General features: G+C 38.3%; 1 protein-coding gene across 17 annotated transcripts in view, besides 1 other annotated feature; it reads left to right on the top strand.

Moving 5' to 3' along the window:
- STK3 (serine/threonine kinase 3) overlaps positions 1–18,678 on the top strand; it is a 598,636-nt gene that overhangs the window by 323,187 nt on the left and 256,771 nt on the right. The gene's annotated exons all lie outside the window — the stretch shown is intronic.
- Positions 6,222–6,311: an enhancer, noted in NCBI's record as "active region_27679". NCBI's record gives its function as "activates an Ori minimal core promoter by ATAC-STARR-seq in GM12878 lymphoblastoid cells {active_cell/tissue: GM12878}" and the evidence as "EXISTENCE:reporter gene assay evidence [ECO:0000049][PMID:35858748]".

The raw sequence follows: 18,678 nt of genomic DNA, 5'->3' as shown, positions 1-18,678 counted from the left end.
TTGGACATGAAGTCCTTCCCCACGCCTATGTCCTGAATGGTAATGCCTAGGTTTTCTTCTAGGGTTTTTATGGTTTTAGGACTAACGTTTAAATCTTTACTCCATCTTGAATTGATTTTTGTATAAGGTGTAAGGAAGGGATCCAGTTTCAGCTTTCTACATATGGCTAGCCAGTTTTCCCAGCACCATTTATTAAATAGGGAATCCTTTCCCCATTGCTTGTTTTTCTCAGGTTTGTCAAAGATCAGATAGTTGTAGGTATGCGGCGTTACTTCTGAGGGCTCTGTTCTGTTCCATTGATCTATATCTCTGTTTTGGTACCAGTACCATGCTGTTTTGGTTACTGTAGCCTTGTAGTATAGTTTGAAGTCAGGTAGTGTGATGCCTCCAGCTTTGTTCTTTTGGCTTAGGATTGACTTGGCGATGCGGGCTCTTTTTTGGTTCCGTATGAACTTTAAAGTAGTTTTTTCCAATTCTGTGAAGAAAGTCATTGGTAGCTTGATGGGGATGGCATTGAATCTGTAAATTACCTTGGGCAGTATGGCCTTTTTCACGATATTGATTCTTCCTACCCATGAGCATGGAATGTTCTTCCATTTGTTTGTATCCTCTTCTATTTCCTTGAGCAGTGGTTTGTAGTTCTCCTTGAAGAGGTCCTTCACATCCCTTGTAAGTTGGATTCCTAGGTATTTTATTCTCTTTGAAGCAATTGTGAATGGGAGTTCACTCATGATTTGGCTCTCTGTTTGTCTGTTGTTGGTGTATAAGAATGCTTGTGATTTTTGTACATTGATTTTGTATCCTGAGACTTTGCTGAAGTTGCTTATCAGCTTAAGGAGATTTTGGGCTGAGACAATGGGGTTTTCTAGATAAACAATCATGTCGTCTGCAAACAGGGACAGTTTGACTTCCTCTTTTCCTAATTGAATACCCTTTATTTCCTTCTCCTGCCTGATTGCCCTGGCCAGAACTTCCAACACTATGTTGAATAGCAGCAGTGAGAGAGGGCATCCCTATCTTGTGCCAGTTTTCAAAGGGAATGCTTCCAGTTTTTGCCCATTCAGTATGATATTGGCTGTGGGTTTGTCATAGATAGCTCTTATTATTTTGAAATACGTCCCATCAATACCTAATTTATTGAGAGTTTTTAGCATGAAGGGTTGTTGAATTTTGTCAAAGGCTTTTTCTGCATCTATTGAGATAATCATGTGGTTTTTGTCTTTGGCTCTGTTTATATGCTGGATTACATTTATTGATTTCTGTATATTGAACCAGCCTTGCATCCCAGGGATGAAGCCCACTTGATCATGGTGGATAAGCTTTTTGATGTGCTGCTGGATTCGGTTTGCCAGTATTTTATTGAGGATTTTTGCATCAATGTTCATCAAGGATATTGGTCTAAAATTCTTCTTTTTGGTTGTGTCTCTGCCCGGCTTTGGTATCAGAATGATGCTGGCCTCCTAAAATGAGTTAGGGAGGATTCCCTCTTTTTCTATTGATTGGAATAGTTTCAGAAGGAATGGTACTAGTTCCTCCTTGTACCTCTGGTAGAATTCGGCTGTGAATCCATCTGGTCCTGGACTCTTTTTCGTTGGTAAACTATTGATTATTGCCACAATTTCAGCTCCTGTTATTGGTCTATTCAGAGATTCAACTTCTTCCTGGTTTAGTCTTGGGAGAGTGTATGTGTCAAGGAATGTATCCATTTCTTCTAGATTTTCTAGTTTATTTGCATAGAGGTGTTTGTAGTATTCTCTGATGGTAGTTTGTATTTCTGTGGGATCGGTGGTGATATCCCCTTTATCATTTTTTATTGTGTCGATTTGATTTTCCTCTCTTTTTTTCTTTGTTAGTCTTGCTAGCGGTCTATCAATTTTGTTGATCCTTTCAAAAAACCAGCTCCTGGATTCATTGATTTTTTGAAGGGTTTTTTGTGTCTCTATTTCCTTCAGTTCTGCTCTGATTTTAGTTATTTCTTGCCTTCTGCTAGCTTTTGAATGTGTTTGCTCTTGCTTTTCTAGTTCTTTTAATTGTGATGTTAGGGTGTCAATTTTGGATCTTTCCTGCTTTCTCTTGTGGGCATTTAGTGCTATAAATTTCCCTCTACACACTGCTTTGAATGCGTCCCAGAGATTCTGGTATGTTGTGTCTTTGTTCTCGTTGGTTTCAAAGAACATCTTTATTTCTGCCTTCATTTCGTTATGTACCCAGTAGTCATTCAGGAGCAGGTTGTTCAGTTTCCATGTAGTTGAGCGGCTTTGAGTGAGATTCTTAATCTTGAATTCTAGTTTGATTGCACTGTGGTCTGAGAGATAGTTTGTTATAATTTCTGTTCTTTTACATTTGCTGAGGAGAGCTTTACTTCCAACTATGTGGTCAATTTTGGAATAGGTGTGGTGTGGTGCTGAAAAAAACGTATATTCTGTTGATTTGGGATGGAGAGTTCTGTAGATGTCTATTAGGTCCGCTTGGTGCGGAGATGAGTTAAATTCCTGGGTATCCTTGTTGACTTTCTGTCTCGTTGATCTGTCTAATGTTGACAGTGGGGTGTTAAAGTCTCCCATTATTAATGTGTGGGAGTCTAAGTCTCTTTGTAGGTCACTCAGGACTTGCTTTATGAATCTGGGTGCTCCTGTATTGGGTGCATATATATTTAGTATAGTTAGCTCTTCTTGTTGAATTGATCCCTTTACCATTATGTAATGGCCTTCTTTGTCTCTTTTGATCTTTGTTGGTTTAACGTCTGTTTTATCAGAGACTAGGATTGCAACCCCTGCCTTTTTTTGTTTTCCATTTGCTTGGTAGATCTTCCTCCATCCTTTTATTTTGAGCCTATGTGTGTCTCTGCACGTGAGATGGGTTTCCTGAATACAGCACACTGATGGGTCTTGACTCTTTATCCAACTTGCCAGTCTGTGTCTTTTAATTGGAGCATTTAGTCCATTTACATTTAAAGTTAATATTGTTATGTGTGAATTTGATCCTGTCATGATGATGTTAGCTGGTTATTTTGCTCGTTAGTTGATGCAGTTTCTTCCTAGTCTCGATGGTCTTTACATTTTGGCATGATTTTGCAGCGGCTGGTACTGGTTGTTCCTTTCCATGTTTAGCGCTTCCTTCAGGAGCTCTTTTAGGGCAGGCCTGGTGGTCACAAAATCTTTCAGCATTTGCTTGTCTGTAAAGGATTTTATTTCTCCTTCACTTATGAAGCTTAGTTTGGCTGGATATGAAATTCTGGGTTGAAAATTCTTTTCTTTAAGAATGTTGAATATTGGCCCCCACTCTCTTCTGGCTTGTAGGGTTTCTGCCGAGAGATCCGCTGTTAGTCTGATGGGCTTCCCTTTGAGGGTAACCCGACCTTTCTCTCTGGCTGCCCTTAACATTTTTTCCTTCATTTCAACTTTGGTGAATCTGACAATTATGTGTCTTGGAGTTGCTCTTCTCGAGGAGTATCTTTGTGGCATTCTCTGTATTTCCTGAATCTGAACGTTGGCCTGCCTTGCTAGATTGGGGAAGTTCTCCTGGATAATATCCTGCAGAGTGTTTTCCAACTTGGTTCCATTCTCCCCATCACTTTCAGGTACACCAATTAGACGTAGATTTGGTCTTTTCACATAGTCCCATATTTCTTGGAGGCTTTGCTCATTTCTTTTTATTCTTTTTTCTCTAAACTTCCCTTCTCGCTTCATTTCATTCATTTCATCTTCCATTGCTGATACCCTTTCTTCCAGTTGATCGCATCGGCTCCTGAGGCTTCTGCATTCTTCACGTAGTTCTCGAGCCTTGGTTTTCAGCTCCATCAGCTCCTTTAAGCACTTCTCTGTATTGGTTATTCTAGTTATACATTCTTCTAAATTTTTTTCAAAGTTTTCAACTTCTTTGCCTTTGGTTTGAATGTCCTCCCGTAGCTCAGAGTAATTTGATCGTCTGAAACCTTCTTCTCTCAGCTCGTCAAAGTCATTCTCCATCCAGCTTTGTTCCATTGCTGGTGAGGAACTGCGTTCCTTTGGAGGAGGAGAGGCGCTCTGTGTTTTAGAGTTTCCAGTTTTTCTGTTCTGTTTTTTCCCCATCTTTGTGGTTTTATCTACTTTTGGTCTTTGATGATGGTGATGTACAGATGGGTTTTCGGTGTGGATGTCCTTTCTGTTTGTTAGTTTTCCTTCTAACAGACAGGACCCTCAGCTGCAGGTCTGTTGGAATACCCTGCCGTGTGAGGTGTCAGTGTGCCCCTGCTAGGGGGTGCCTCCCAGTTAGGCTGCTCGGGGGTCAGGGGTCAGGGACCCACTTGAGGAGGTAGTCTGCCCGTTCTCAGATCTCCAGCTGCGTGCTGGGAGAACCACTGCTCTCTTCAAAGCTGTCAGACAGGGACATTTAAGTCTGCAGAGGTTACTGCTGTCTTTTTGTTTGTCTGTGCCCTGCCCCTAGACGTGGAGCTTACAGAGGCAGGCAGGCCTCCTTGAACTCTGGTGGGCTCCACCCAGTTGGAGCTTCCTGGCTGCTTTGTTTACCTAAGCAAGCCCGGGCAATGGCGGGCTCCCCTCCCCCAGCCTAGCTGCCGCCTTGCAGTTTGATCTCAGACTGCTTTGTGCTAGCAATCAGCGAGATTCTGTGGGTGTAGGACCCTCCAAGCCAGGTGTGGGATATAGTCTCGTGGTGCGCCGTTTTTTAAGCCGGTCTGAAAAGCGCAGTATTCGGGTGAGAGTGACCCGATTTTCCAGGTGCATCCATCACCCCTTTCTTTGACTCGGAAAGGGAACTCCCTGACCCCTTGCGCTTCCCAGGTGAGGCAATGCCTCGCCCTGCTTCGGCTCGCGCACGGTGCGCACACCCACTGGCCTGCGCCCACTGTCTGGCACTCCCTAGTGAGATGAACCCGGTACCTCAGATGGAAATGCAGAAATCACCCATCTTCTGCATCGCTCTCGCTGGGAGCTGTAGACCGGAGCTGTTCCTATTCGGCCATCTTGGCTCCTCCCCCGATCGAGACATCTTCTTTGACACATAGATTATTTGAAAGCGTGTTCTTTAGTTTTCAAGTGCTTGATTTTCCTATTATGTCTCTGTTATTGATTTCTAATGTGATTCCATTGTGCTTGGAGACTCTACTCTGTTCAGTTCTTTAAAATTTGTTGATGTATGTTTTATGCCTCAGTATATGTTCTCTCTTGGTATATGGTCCATGATTACTTGAAAGTAATAAGTACTCTGCTGTTGTTGAGGTGGGGTATTCTATAAATTTTGTTGATGGTGTTGTTGATTTCTTCTGTATCCTTGCTGATTTTCTGTCTATTTGTTTTATCTCTTGTTGTTAGAGGATATTGACATTTCTACTGATAATGGTGAATTTATCTATTTCTCCTTTCAAGTTTTAGTTTTTGCTTCATATATTTTATAGCTTGTTGGTTGGTACATATACATTAGTGCTTGTTATATTTTCTTGGTGAATTATGTCTCATCACTATGTAATGTCCCTCTCTGTCTCTGGTAATTTTCTTTGCTGAAGTCTCCTTTATCTGTTATTAATATAGCCACTTCTGCTTTGGTTTGATTATTGTTTGCATGTTATATTTCTTCCATCATTTTTCTTTCAACATGCCTGTATTTTTATATTATAAGTTAGTTTCTTATATACTACATATAATTGAGTTGCATTTTAAAATCTACCTTTTCAGTTTTTGCCTTTTAATTGGCATATTTAGGCGATTTACATTTAATGTAATTATTAATATGTTATGGCTAAAGTTTTGCATTTTTTTAATTTCTGTTTTCTTTTTTTTTACTTCCTGTGGGTTACTTGATTTTTTTTAAGAGTTTTCTTTTGATTTATCTATAGTGTTTATGAGGATATTTCTATGCAAAACTTTTTGGTGGTTTATTTTAGTATTATTCTATATGTACATAAATTATCACAAGGTACTGGTAAAGCTGAGGCTTTCTATTTTTACATTGTTTCAGTTATTTTCATGATTGTTCATTGAAGCATTTTTTTAAAGACTCTTAAAATATTTGTCAGATACTTCTGACATGTCTTTTTTTGGTGTTGACTTTTATCTTTTTTGTTTTTTTGGTCAGTTTGTGATTTTTTTGACTCTTGGTCTGATGAGTAATTTTTGGTTGAAAACAGGACCTATTTCCCCATTATATTCTGAGACTGGATCTTATTTAAACCTTCTGTTTTAGGTGAATGTTTATGACATTACTTTAAGAGGGGAAGGGAGCTCATCACTGCCAGGTAGAGTTTGTTGAAGTCCAGATTCCCCTTTCAGTCTCTGTTGCCCTACTCAAGTAGCAGGAGTGGCTCCTCATTATTGCTGAGTCAGAGTGGTGATTCTAGCTCTCCGTGTGTAGTCTCTATTGTATTGGTGCTTACCTAATTTCCACTGGTTAGTGAAAGTCTTAATTTAACTTTTTTCTAGTCCTCCTCAGTGGGTAGTGGGAGGATCACCTCATTGCTGCCAGTTTGGAGAGGAAGTACAGGTTCTACTTGCTGTCTACTGACACTGCTAGGGGGGGCTGTCCTTTTACTTTCCAGAGGGGTGAAATTCTTGGCTCCCTACTTGTTCTTTTCTCACCATGTCAGGAGTATTGTGGGACCTTGTTATAGTCTCATGAGGATAGAACTTTAGGCTGTCCACTAAGCCTTTCTGACATGGTTAGAGTGGGACTACAGTTTTTTCTGTGGTGTTTGGCTGACATAGAGTGAAATTTGCCTAAAGTTTTCTTCTTTCCATGGTGTTCTTCTCTTCATCTTTTGGGCAGGGTTTTGTCGGAGCTTTTTTGTTTGTACCTGTTAGCTTTTTCTGGTTGTTGGCTTATCTGGCCCCAAGTGTGGAATATATAAGGGACAAAGAAGATCCAGGGAAGTCATCAGTTATGTTCCTTGGGTTCCAAGATCCCTAGCTGTTCTGCCTTCTCTCCATCTTTCATATATATATATATATATTAGAATCTCTCTATATATATGGGTTGATATATATATAGAATTGATATATATGTATATATAGAATTCATATGTGTGTGTGTGTATATATATATATATGTTTAGAAACAGTGGTCTTGAACTGGTCTTGAATTCCTGGTTTCAAGCAGTCCTCCCCACTCGGCTTCCCAAGTGGCTGGGATTATAGGCATGAGCCACTGTGCCCAGTCTGGATCTTCGTATGCTTGTTTATTCATAATGTCCATGGTTTTTGGTTGTACTTAACGAGAGAAATAGGAAAATGTACATCTACTCTATCTTCCTAGAAGCAGAAGTTACACATAGTTTTTAAACAGCAATGACTTTCTAATTTATGGAATTTTAGATGAAATATAAAATATAGTGACATACATACACATATATATTTATATAAATGTCTATTATATGTATATTTATATATATTTTATATACTATATATGTATTTATTTATTTAGCAAGGGGAACAGTTTGATTGTTGTTGCCTAGAGTTGGCCCCTGAATTAGTTTTCCTAGTTTCTCCCATTCTATTTATGAACTCTGTCTCTAAAAATGGTAAGTTTTTATTCCCCAAACTTGTGCTAAATGTAGTGGGAATTTGGATCCATACTGTTTGATTCATGCAGTGATCTTTGACCCTTGATACACCTTACACTCATATAGGACATTTTTTTAAAAACCAACCAACCTAGGCCTAGACAACACCAGATTCTTTGGGTTGAGTTCAGGGAATAAGCAATTTTAGAATGCTTCCCAGGTGATTCTAATATGTAGCCAGTGTTAAGAACCACTGGCATAGAGTTTGGAATTGGTTGGTTGCTTGTGAATCATAAGGTTTTCTTAAAGAAATTTGGAGTTAGAAACTAATATATGAATTTTTTTTTATCATTTTAATTAACTTATGGTAGAATCTAAGGGTTTATTTATCTGGCAATCATATTTGGCCAAGGCTGTAGATTAAGCCTTATTTTCCCTAGGCACGAAAATGAGGGGCTGTGTTGACAGATTTCTTTTCTTTCTAAAACTTACTATTTACTCTTAAATTTCACACTAAATTTCTGAGATCTATTGTTTTTTTCTGATTGTAGACTTTGATGTATGTATATATGTCTGTGTGTCTTTTTTTAATTATAAACTTTTCATATTTTCAGTTGTTTCTTTTTTGTTCTTCATATATTTTTTGTTGTTAATTTTGATTTTCTTAATCCTAATTTACATTGACTTCTATTATAGATTTTTGTGAAATTGATTTGTACTGGGCATTATACTGTTTTGGGACCAGAGCCTCACTTATTGCATCATATTCTTGCTATCTTAGGACTAGTGTATTGTTTTATTGTGATTCAATCACAGGAGCTCTGTGCTGACCTCTGCTTGTTTAGCTTTAACCCAGTTCTTTGTATCAGTTTGAGTTTATAGGCCTTTGTGTAAACATCTGCTTAAGTTTTGTAGTCTCTATTAGATATGACTGGATTTTGAATGATGTGTTCTTTATAATGAGCATTTTTATATTTTACTATGTTTTGATTACTTGATTAACTTTCACAGATTCTATAACAACTTAGTCTTTGCACTTTGGTTGTAAAGTGACATAATATTTTAACTCGAATCAGGATGATTTTATGCTAAATGATAATTTTGAGGATAGTATGTCAATTATAGGCACTAGGCCCGGTAACTGGAGCCTTTGCCCAAAGATTATGCCCTGCATGGGCCATGCTACATCTCTGTGCTAGAGCCCATAGTTTTCCCTCCTAGATCATGCTCTGCAGACCCAGGATCCCAGGATTCCCCATTTAAATGGTCCTGAGCCTATGCGGGCATCTTCCCTGCTTTTCCTCATTAGGACAGACTGCACCAGGCTAGTGATGGACAAGACACAGCTATTGCAAGGGTGGCATATGGTGGTGGGGGCACTGGGATAGAGCTAAGACGTGTGTGCCGCACTGTTTTAGGAGTCAGAGGTGGGAATAGAATAGAAAGAAAATCAATGGATGCTATTGATTTACTTTGGATTGAATTGAATTATTGTTGCACTTTGGTAAAATGAAGCTAGGCAGTATTGCATATAATATTCTGATCTTCTAATAGTACTTCATGGTGTTGAACTTCTTGTCCTTGGAACTCTTTTACCAGATGATACAAAAACTGCTAATGACTAGTATTAATTTATTTCCCTAATCTTATGGTCAAATTATACTAAGTTACATTACATGAATCTTTTGTTCATTATTTCCTTTTTTCTCATTTTGTAATCATATGGTTTTTTTTTTTCTGTTTTGAAACATTTTGGTACATTCCAGATAGTTCCTTTGGATGGGGGTATTGGTTCTTCTTTCTTGCTTTTGAAGCTCTGATTCATTTTCTGTTTTATTACTAAGATAAGTTACTATGAAAGTTTTCTTCCAGATTCTTAATTTTATCATGCTTCTGAAATTGTTTTGATAATACATGCAATTAGTTTATCTGATATATGTCAATTATTTCTTTTTTTTTTTTTTTGAGACGGAGTCTCACTGTGTCACCCAGGCTGGAGTGCGGTGGTGCGATCTCTGATCTCGGCTCACTGCAAGCTCCACCTCCCAGATTCATGCCATTCTCCTGCCTCAGCCTCCTGAGTAGCTGGGACTACAGGTGCCCGCCACCACGCCCAGTTAATTTTTTGTATTTTTAGTAGAGACGGGGTTTCACTGTGTTAGCCAGGATGGTCTCGATCTCCTGACCTCGTGATCCACCCGCGTCAGCCTCCCAAAGTGCTGGGATTACAGGCGGAACCACCATGCCTGGCCACTGATTTCTAATATTTTGTCTTCCCTTAAGTTTTCTGATACATTCAAGGCAATTAGTTCATCAGCTTTATTTTTCAATCTATTTTATTGATGTTTTTGTACTGTCTTCTTATTTTTTGTAAACTTCTAGTGGTTGTTCTAGTATTTTTTCCGCATAGTCTTACCTTTCATTTTGTTCTTTTTATATGTAAATGTTTATGATCCATTATTTATTGTTATAGCTAATGCAGTGTAAAGTATACATTGTACCATATTTCAGATGAGATACTTTATTTAAATAGCTGAGATAAAAATTTCATGGCTTAAAGTGACATCCAAACCATACACTTCTTTTTTTGAGGAGTTATTATGCTGTTAAAATGCCTAGAATTATTCTAAAATTAAACATTAAAAGGCCTTATCTCAAAACTTATTTAACATTTAAAATATTATTTTATTCACTATTCTTAGTAAAGTTTCACTCTTATTCCGTTATTCTGAAATATATAACTTAATATGCTTTGTTATTGGCAGAGCCCTCTTCTTTGTCAGGGTGTGAATTTAGGTAATCAGTGATGTAGTATGAGCATAATGCTTGCGGAAGGGTTGTGGTTGTGTATTTTCTAAGGAAGATCAGTTGGCTACCCAGACAAGATCACAGAGCAGCATTTATTATTCGAAGACCGATCTGCCAATGTAATAAATATAGAACTGTCTCATAGGATGGACTTAACCAAGTTCACTGATATACAAATCAAAATTCCAATTTATTACTTTAAAAATAGATATTTAACCCTCAAGTAATCAGATGTTCATCACCATATTCTCTTCTGAAGTCAGTTTTACATGGGAATCCAAATTTTGACCAGAAGGCTGTCAGGTGAAAATGGTTACTAGAATAAGGTGATTAGTTGGATGATCTTATTGACTACTGCATCAAGCTATGCTCATCCGTGTCTACCACTTGAATTTATCTATTGCAAGGACCAGGTATATTTTTTAGTGGTCCAGGGCATCCTCTTGGACAGAATGGAGACACATTACCAATTTCATTTTTCTGGATGCTCTTTTGATGTCTTGTGAACCATGTCTCTTCATTATTTTTTCAGGCATATTAAAATACAGTTACTTAGAAAAAATAAACTATATACCAAATTTTATCTGTGTTAAAATTTCAAATATGTAAAAAAGTAAACAAATTAGAAGGACATAATATAAAATGAAACAAGTTTGTGGTACTGTTGCTGGTGAACATGCATCAAACAGAAGAAAATATTCCTGTTAGTTTCCCTGGTTTGCATTCACTATAGAATAGTGGTTTTCAGGCTTTTTGGCCTGAGCAGTCCTTTTCACTTTAAAGAATTGAGGACCCAAGAGCTTTTGTTTATATGAATCAATTACTATTTTCATAAAAATAATGAGTGGATAGCTTAATAGAAGATGGTTGAATTTTTTTTTTTATTTGTGAGTGTTGTAACACATTATTTCAATGGAAATGTATGAAAAATATCTGGCCTAACACATATATGATATGTGATTAAGATGGAGCAATATTCTAATCATTTGTTTTCTGGTAATTATGATATTCTTCCTTTCATACTACACCAAAATTCAACAGTGATAATTTTCTAAAGATTAATTCCAGTATTAGAATCTGAAACCATAGTAGTGAGTTTTTCTATTTTGTTACATTAAAATCTATTTCTCTATCTTGTACTTGGAATAGATCTTTATTCATATGTGAACGGGTAATGTCATGTATTTGTCATTTGGAAAAATCAGAAAAGTTTCTAAATACTAGGAAACTGTTAAGTTCATGGTGGCAGATAGAAGCTTTTGAAAATTTGACTTTTCAACTGAAAGCTTAAATTTTATAATTGTTATCAAAAACCATCTGTGTTTCCATGATGTCATAGGTTCAGTTGATTCATTTTTGAGAAAATGTCTGTTGAGTATCCAAATCTGAATAATCAAAGTTTATCTCTCAGTTTTTCTTTCAAATGAAAAAGATGATTCATGAAAAAAGCTGTAGTTCAACATGCAATTTAATCACAGATAATTTTCCTTGAGACAACCATTGTACTTCATTATGTAGCAGGTATAGTTTATGCGTATTTCTCATTTCACTACAAAATGCTAAAAAGATGCTAAAAAGATTTGCTAAAAAGAGTATTTTTTAAATCAAGGATTTTCTTAATCAAAAGTGTCTTTTTTGTGAATTCACAGATTCAAAAAAATTGTGAATGCATGACAATGAAGAATACAATGATTACAGTTTTGTTCCACTGTCTTCATTGGTGCTAGGGAGCCAGCAATTTTATCTGTCATTGCTTTTGTACCTGTAGTGCAAATGTCAATTGAGAGAAAAAGGAAAAGAATGGCTTAGTGTTTTTATGAAAAAAAGATTTGACTTGGTAGATCCCTGAAAGGGCCCAGTGAAGGAGTTCATGAACACCTCGAGAACCACAACTGTAGAGAAAAGCTGTTAGAGAAACAGTATTTTTCACCTTTGTCTAAAAAGTGCTTCTTATATCAGTTGCTTATCAATTTCACTATTTTGCTATGTTTGAAAAACAGTGAAAATACATTTGAATACCACCTGAATTACAGTATTCTATTTCAACACAAATTGAGTGTACTGTGGTTCTGTTCTACTGCTAACCATCCAGAGTTAGCTCAGACCCCACAAGTTCAAGGGCATGATCCCCAACATGACCACTCTTCAGATACCAGCTACACTTAATTTGTCCCTAGGTTACCCATACTTCTGACTAAATGGTTATACATTCAGCAGTTCCTTTGATCCCCTCAGGTTTGATAACTTGCTAGAATGACTGGCAGAATTCAGGAAAGAACTATACTTAGAATGACAGGTTTATTATAAAGGATGCTAATCAGGAGGACCAGTCAAATGAAGAGACCCATATGATTGTCTGAGAGGGAACACAGAGCCTGTGTGACTTCCTTTTGTAGAATCAGGACATGTGAATGTGTTTGCCAACCAGGAGGCTCTGCTAAGCCTAGATGTACAGAGTTTTTACTGGGGTTTCATTAAGTAGTAATGATTGATTAAACCTTTGGCCATTTGTTTGAGCTCAGTCTTTAGTATCCACTCACCAGAGGTCAGGCAGCTAAATATACTAACCTGCTAATTACATGCTTATTCTTTCTGCTGACCATCCTGTATCCTGAAGCTATCTAGGGGCTTCAGTTGGCATGTGTCAACTCCTTAGCATAACAAAGACATTTATATCTCTGGAAATTCCATGGGCTTTTGCAGCCTCTTGGAAAAGAGCTTCAAAAGTGTTCAGAACACTGCAAAAGAGAAATGTTGTGTTGGACTTCCAGGGAGCCTGGGTAAAGAGATCTGATTAATACTCTATATTGCCATTCCCTTCCCCTTTTTTTTGAGTTCTGGAGTCAGTGTGTGGTAATGTTCAACCACCCATCTTAAACCATGAAGTAAATTGGAAGGTGGAGACCACATACTGATGGCACTACAGCAGTATCATACTAGCCTGATACTGCCCATTTATGGAGATAACAGCTTCTTCAAGCAGTTCTCTTGCCTCAGCCTCCCAAGTAGCTGGGATTACAGGCACCCACCACCACACCTGGCTAATTTTTGTATTTTTAGCAGAGATGGGGTTTTGCCATGTTGGCCAAGCTGGTCTCAAACTCCTGACCTCAGGTGATCCGACTGCCTCAGCCTCTCAAAGCGCTGGGATTACAGGCATGAGCTACCGCACCCGGCCACAAACATATCTTTCATGGCTAGAGCAGGAGGAAGAGAGAAAGGGGGAAGGTGCTACACACTTTTAACAACCACATCTTATGATAACTCACTATCATGAGAACAGCACCAAGGGGATGATAATAAACCATTCATGACAACTCCACCCCCATGGTCCAATCACCTCCCATCAGGCCCCACCGCTAACATTGGGGATTACAATTTGACAGGAGATTTAAGCGGGGACACAGAGCCAAGCCATATTGTACTTCTAACCTAAAGAGCTGTAAGATAATAAACTTGTGTTGTATGAACCACTACATTTGTGATAACTTACTACAGCAGAAATAGAAAACTAGTATAGACGGATAGCTGGGGGCAGGGCGAAGACAGAGAGGGAGGAAGTAAGAGAGGAAGAAGTTGTTATCACCATAAATGGGCAGGCGGATGTTGCAGTGAGCCGAGATCATGCCGCTGCACTCCAGCTTGGGTGACAAGAGTGAAACTCTGCCTCAAAAAAAAAAAAAAAAAAAAGGTGTGCTTGCTTCCCCTTCACCTTCCACCATGATTGTAAGTTTCCTGAGGTCTCCCTGAAACAGAAGCTGCTATGCTTCCTATACAGCCTGCAGAACCATGAGCCAGTTAAACTTCTTTTCTTTATAAATTACCCAGTCTCAGATATTTCTTTATTGAAATGTGAGAATAGACCAATACAGAAAATCAGTGCCAAGGAGTAGGGCATTGCTATAAAGATACCTGAAAATGTGGAAGCAGCTTTGAAAGTGGGTAACAGGCAGAGGCTGGAAGAGTATGGAGGGCTCATAAGAAGACAGGAAAATGAGGGAAAGTTTGGAACTTCTTAGAGACTTGTTAAATTGTGACCAAAATGTTGATAGTGATATGGACAATGAAATCCATGCTGATGAGGTCTCGGATGGAGATGAGGAACTTACTGGGAACTGGAGCAAATGTCACTTTTGTTATGCATTAACAAAGAACCTAGTGGCATTTTACCCCTGCCCTGGGGATCTGTGGATCTTTGAACTTGAGACTGATGATTTAGGGTATCTGGCAGAAGAAATTTCTAAGCAGTAAAGTGTTCAAGAGGTGACCTGGCTGCTTCTAACAACCTGTGCCCATATGCATGAGCAAAGAAATGATGTAAAACTCAAACTTGTATTTAAAGGGGAAGCAGAACATAAAAGTTGAAAATTTTGTAGCCCAGCCATGTGGTAGAAAAGAAAAACTTATTTGAGGGTGCAAAAGCCAGCTGCAGCCATTTTCATAACTAAAAGGAAGGCAACAGTTGAGACTTGGGAACCCCAGCCTAGATTTTAGAGGAGATATGGAAAAGCCTGAATGTCCAGGCAGAAGTCTGCTGTAGGGCTGTAGCTTTCATGAGAACCTCTACTAGGGCAATGCAAGAGGGAAATATGGGGTTAGAGTCTTCACTGGAGTACTGCCTGGTGGAGCTGTGAGAAGAGGGCCACCATCCTCCAGACCCCTCCAGATAGAGCTACCAATAGCTGGCACTATGCACTTGGAAAACCCATAGGCACCCAATGCCAGCCCATGAGAGCAGCCTCAGGGGCTGAACCCTGCAGGGCCATAGGGATGGAGTGGCTGAAGGCTTTGGGAGCCCACGCCTTTTATCAGTGTGCCCTGGATGTGGGACATGGAGTCAAAGGAGATTATTTTGGAGCTTTCCAAAATACAGTGTCTAACACATATCTCACTAGGCTACATCTGAAGTGGTGGCAGGGAAGCTTTTTTATCCTGGAGTATCTCAGAGAGAATTTGTTTCCTTGCTTTTTCAAGCTTCTAAAGGCTGCCCACATTCTTTGGCTCATGGCCCTCTTCCTTTATCTTCAAAGCAGCATTATTTGAAGACTGCTTCAAAGCAGACCATTATTCCAAACTCACATCTCCCTCTGACTCTCCTGGCTCCCTCTTCCACTTTTTAGGACCCTTCTGATTACATTTGGCCTGCCTAGATAATTTAGGATAATCTGTCCACCTCAAGACTTTTAACTTAATCTTATCTTCAAAATCCTTTTTGCCATGTAAAGTAACATATTCACAAGTCCGGGGATTAGAACGTAGACATCTTGCGGGGTGGGGGCATTATTCATTCTATCTCTCTACATCATCTTTCCCTCCTTCCCTTCCCTTCTTCCTTTCCTTCTTCCTTCCTTTCCTTCTTCCCTTCCTTCCCAGGCCCCGCTTCCAGCATTGAGGACCACATTTCAACATGAGATTTGGAGGGGACAGATATCCAAACTCAAGTATCCATTGGTGTTCCTTGCCTGAATTGATCATTAAATTACATTGAGGGTGCAATATGTTGATACTGTATTTCAGTTACTGTGTATTTTTAGAATTTTTCTATAAAGAACAGCTTTTCTTAAACTCTTTGAAAAATATTGTCATAGGCCAGGTGCGGTGGCTCACACCTGTAATCCCAGCACTTTGGGAGGCCAAGGTGGGCAGATCATTTGAGGTCAGGAGTTTGAGATTAGCCTGGCCAGTATGGTGAAACCTTGTCTCTACTAAAAATGTGAAAAATAGCCAGGCATGGTGGCGGGCACCTGTAATCCCAGCTACTTGGGAGGCTGAGGCATGAGAATCGCTTGAACCTGGGAGGTAGAAGTTGCAGTGAGCCTAGATCATGTCACTGCACTCCAGCCTGGATGGGTGACAGCGAGACTCCATCTCAAAAATAAAAAAAAAAAACACTGTAGACTAATTGTTTTCAATTTGTTATAATCAGTTATAGTCATTATTACTATTATTATTTTGATGCTCAAATTATCCTAAATTTGGTTATTTATATGTCCTTTTGACATAATACCATTAATCTTTGAGTGTTTCCTTACCTTCTGGCCTAGCAAGATACCCAGAGCTAACCTTGTGATTTTCCTATTTTGACCTTTGAAATTAGTCATTTCCTCAAGGAGCATAGGTTTCTTTTACTGGGGATTGGCATTTTAGAAGCCAAGATCTTGGTACCAGGTGTGCTCCTTGTTACAGGTGTCCACTATCTTTAGATATATTTGGTACTTCCAAGTTCTTAGGCTTTTTTTTTTTTTTTAGTTATTTGGAGGGAATTGATGTGCTTCTTACTGATTTCTCAGATCTTTTGAGTCAGTTATGACTCTTTCATCTACTTTCTATTTCCAAAATTTTATTGCTGTCTCTTATTTTCTATTGCCCTTCTCTCTTTGGAGGTTAAGCCTTTTTAAAATTCTTACTGTACTTTAGCAGGATTTTGGGGAAGGAGTTGAAGTAAATCAGTATGTTCAGTTACCATACTTAACTGGATGTCTTTATATCAACACTCTCAGTATAAATTTAGGTTTTACTATGGAGAAGTACTATGCCTAATGCAGTTGACATATAAAACTTAAGTGATTGTATAGTCTGTTTGGGTTGCTATAACAAAATACCTTAGACTGGGTAATTTATGTACAAAAGATATGTATTGCTCACAGTTCTGGAGGCTTGGAAGTTCAAGATCTAGGTGCTAGCAGATTTGGTGTCTAGTTAGGGCTTGTTCCTCATAGAAGGCACCTTCTATGTGTCCTTATTTGGCAGAAGGGATTAGATGGTTCTGTGGGGACTTGTTTATGAGGGCATTAATTCCATTCACAAAGGTGGAGCCCTTATGACCTAATCGCCTCCCAAAGGCCCCACCTTCTAATACCATCACGTTGGTGATTTGCTTTGAACATAAGAATTTTGCAAGAGACACAAACATTCAGACAATAGAAGACACTGTCTTGCCTTCAGGTAGTTTTCATGTTATCCAGGGCATTTAGAATGAGTTTATAACTAATCAGAGTACAATATTAAAATATGGAAAGTTCTGAAGTTGAGATATTAAACAGTGATAGCACTTGTCTTGTATTTTATATTTTAGAATAGTGGTTCTCCATGTTACTCACATATTGGAATTGCTTGGGAGATGTAAGAAAATATTGTGCCTTGTCGTCACCCCAGATCAGTTAAATCAGACTCTTTTATGGCTGATACTAAGTTCTACAAGTGCTGAACTTCTGATGTGATCCAGTTAGTATTTGAGTGATTTCTTTCTTTATGGGCAACAAGATGCCTTTGGCTCACCTCGTAATTTCCCTGCCCTACATCTGAAATAAGTCAGTTTCTCTCACAGCTCCATGAGGTTTCAAACTTCACAACTGAGAAGATGCTGGTCTCCTTTCTGTGCTTCACTGACTCACTCATTCTTTATGACTCAGCTGAAATCTCATCTTCCCATACCCATTTAGCTCACATACCTATTTGGGCTAAGTCATCCTTTGTAATACCTATTGCTCACATGTATTTGAGCACTTACACTATTTTATTAAAATGATCTGATATACATTTTTATATTCCATTAGACTCTAAATTTCTTGAAGAAGTTAATATATTGCAGGTATGGATACATTTATGTGCTTACAAAAGTCAGTTGAACTGATCATAGGACTTCTATCTGAGAGAGTGAAATTTGTGATAAAGTTCTTTAAGTGTTGGCTTTTGTTCACTTTTGCTTTTCTCTACAGCCATGTTTTATGATATTGTTGGATTGTATTAAAGGGATATTATATTTCAGTCTTGAAAGATGGTTAAGATTTACAATTGATTGTATTGGGATTTAAATAGTGCATGAGTAAGAGGTGGTTGTGGGGCAGACTGGAATAGGTGACAGCTTAAGGGGTGGTATCAAATGAAGCTTTTGCAATTGCGAGTATAATTTTTAAATACTTTTAAATATATGTATATATATTTAAATAGAGTCAGGATCTCATTGTGTTGCCTAGGCTTGTCTTGAGCTCCTGGGCTCAAGCAATCCACCTTCCTCAGCCTCTCAGCTCAGGGACTACAGGCATGAGCCACTATGCCTAGCTGCAAGTATAATTTTTAAAAGTAAAAAAAAATTTAAAAACCATCATAGTAAAAATAAATTTTAAAGACACTTATACAATCTTGTACATAATTGCTGCTATGAATTGACAGTTTAAATTTTTAAGATTCTATACCATCTTTTAGTTTTTATTGCTGCATACTAGTCATTTTTATGTGAAAGCAGTCTTTACTGTTTTACTCCCTCATTTTTGCTTTTTAAGAACTTTTCTTTGTGGTTTTGTAATTCACACATTTGTCAGTTTTTATGGCAATATGTTACTTTATGTTATTCATATATAGTTTACTTAGCACCCTCA

This window comes from Homo sapiens, chromosome 8, assembly GCF_000001405.40.
Source record: "Homo sapiens chromosome 8, GRCh38.p14 Primary Assembly".
Classification (NCBI taxonomy): Eukaryota; Metazoa; Chordata; class Mammalia; order Primates; family Hominidae; genus Homo; species Homo sapiens.
The sequence above is the reverse complement of the archived record's forward strand: the minus strand, read 5'-3'. Positions and strand labels throughout refer to the sequence as shown.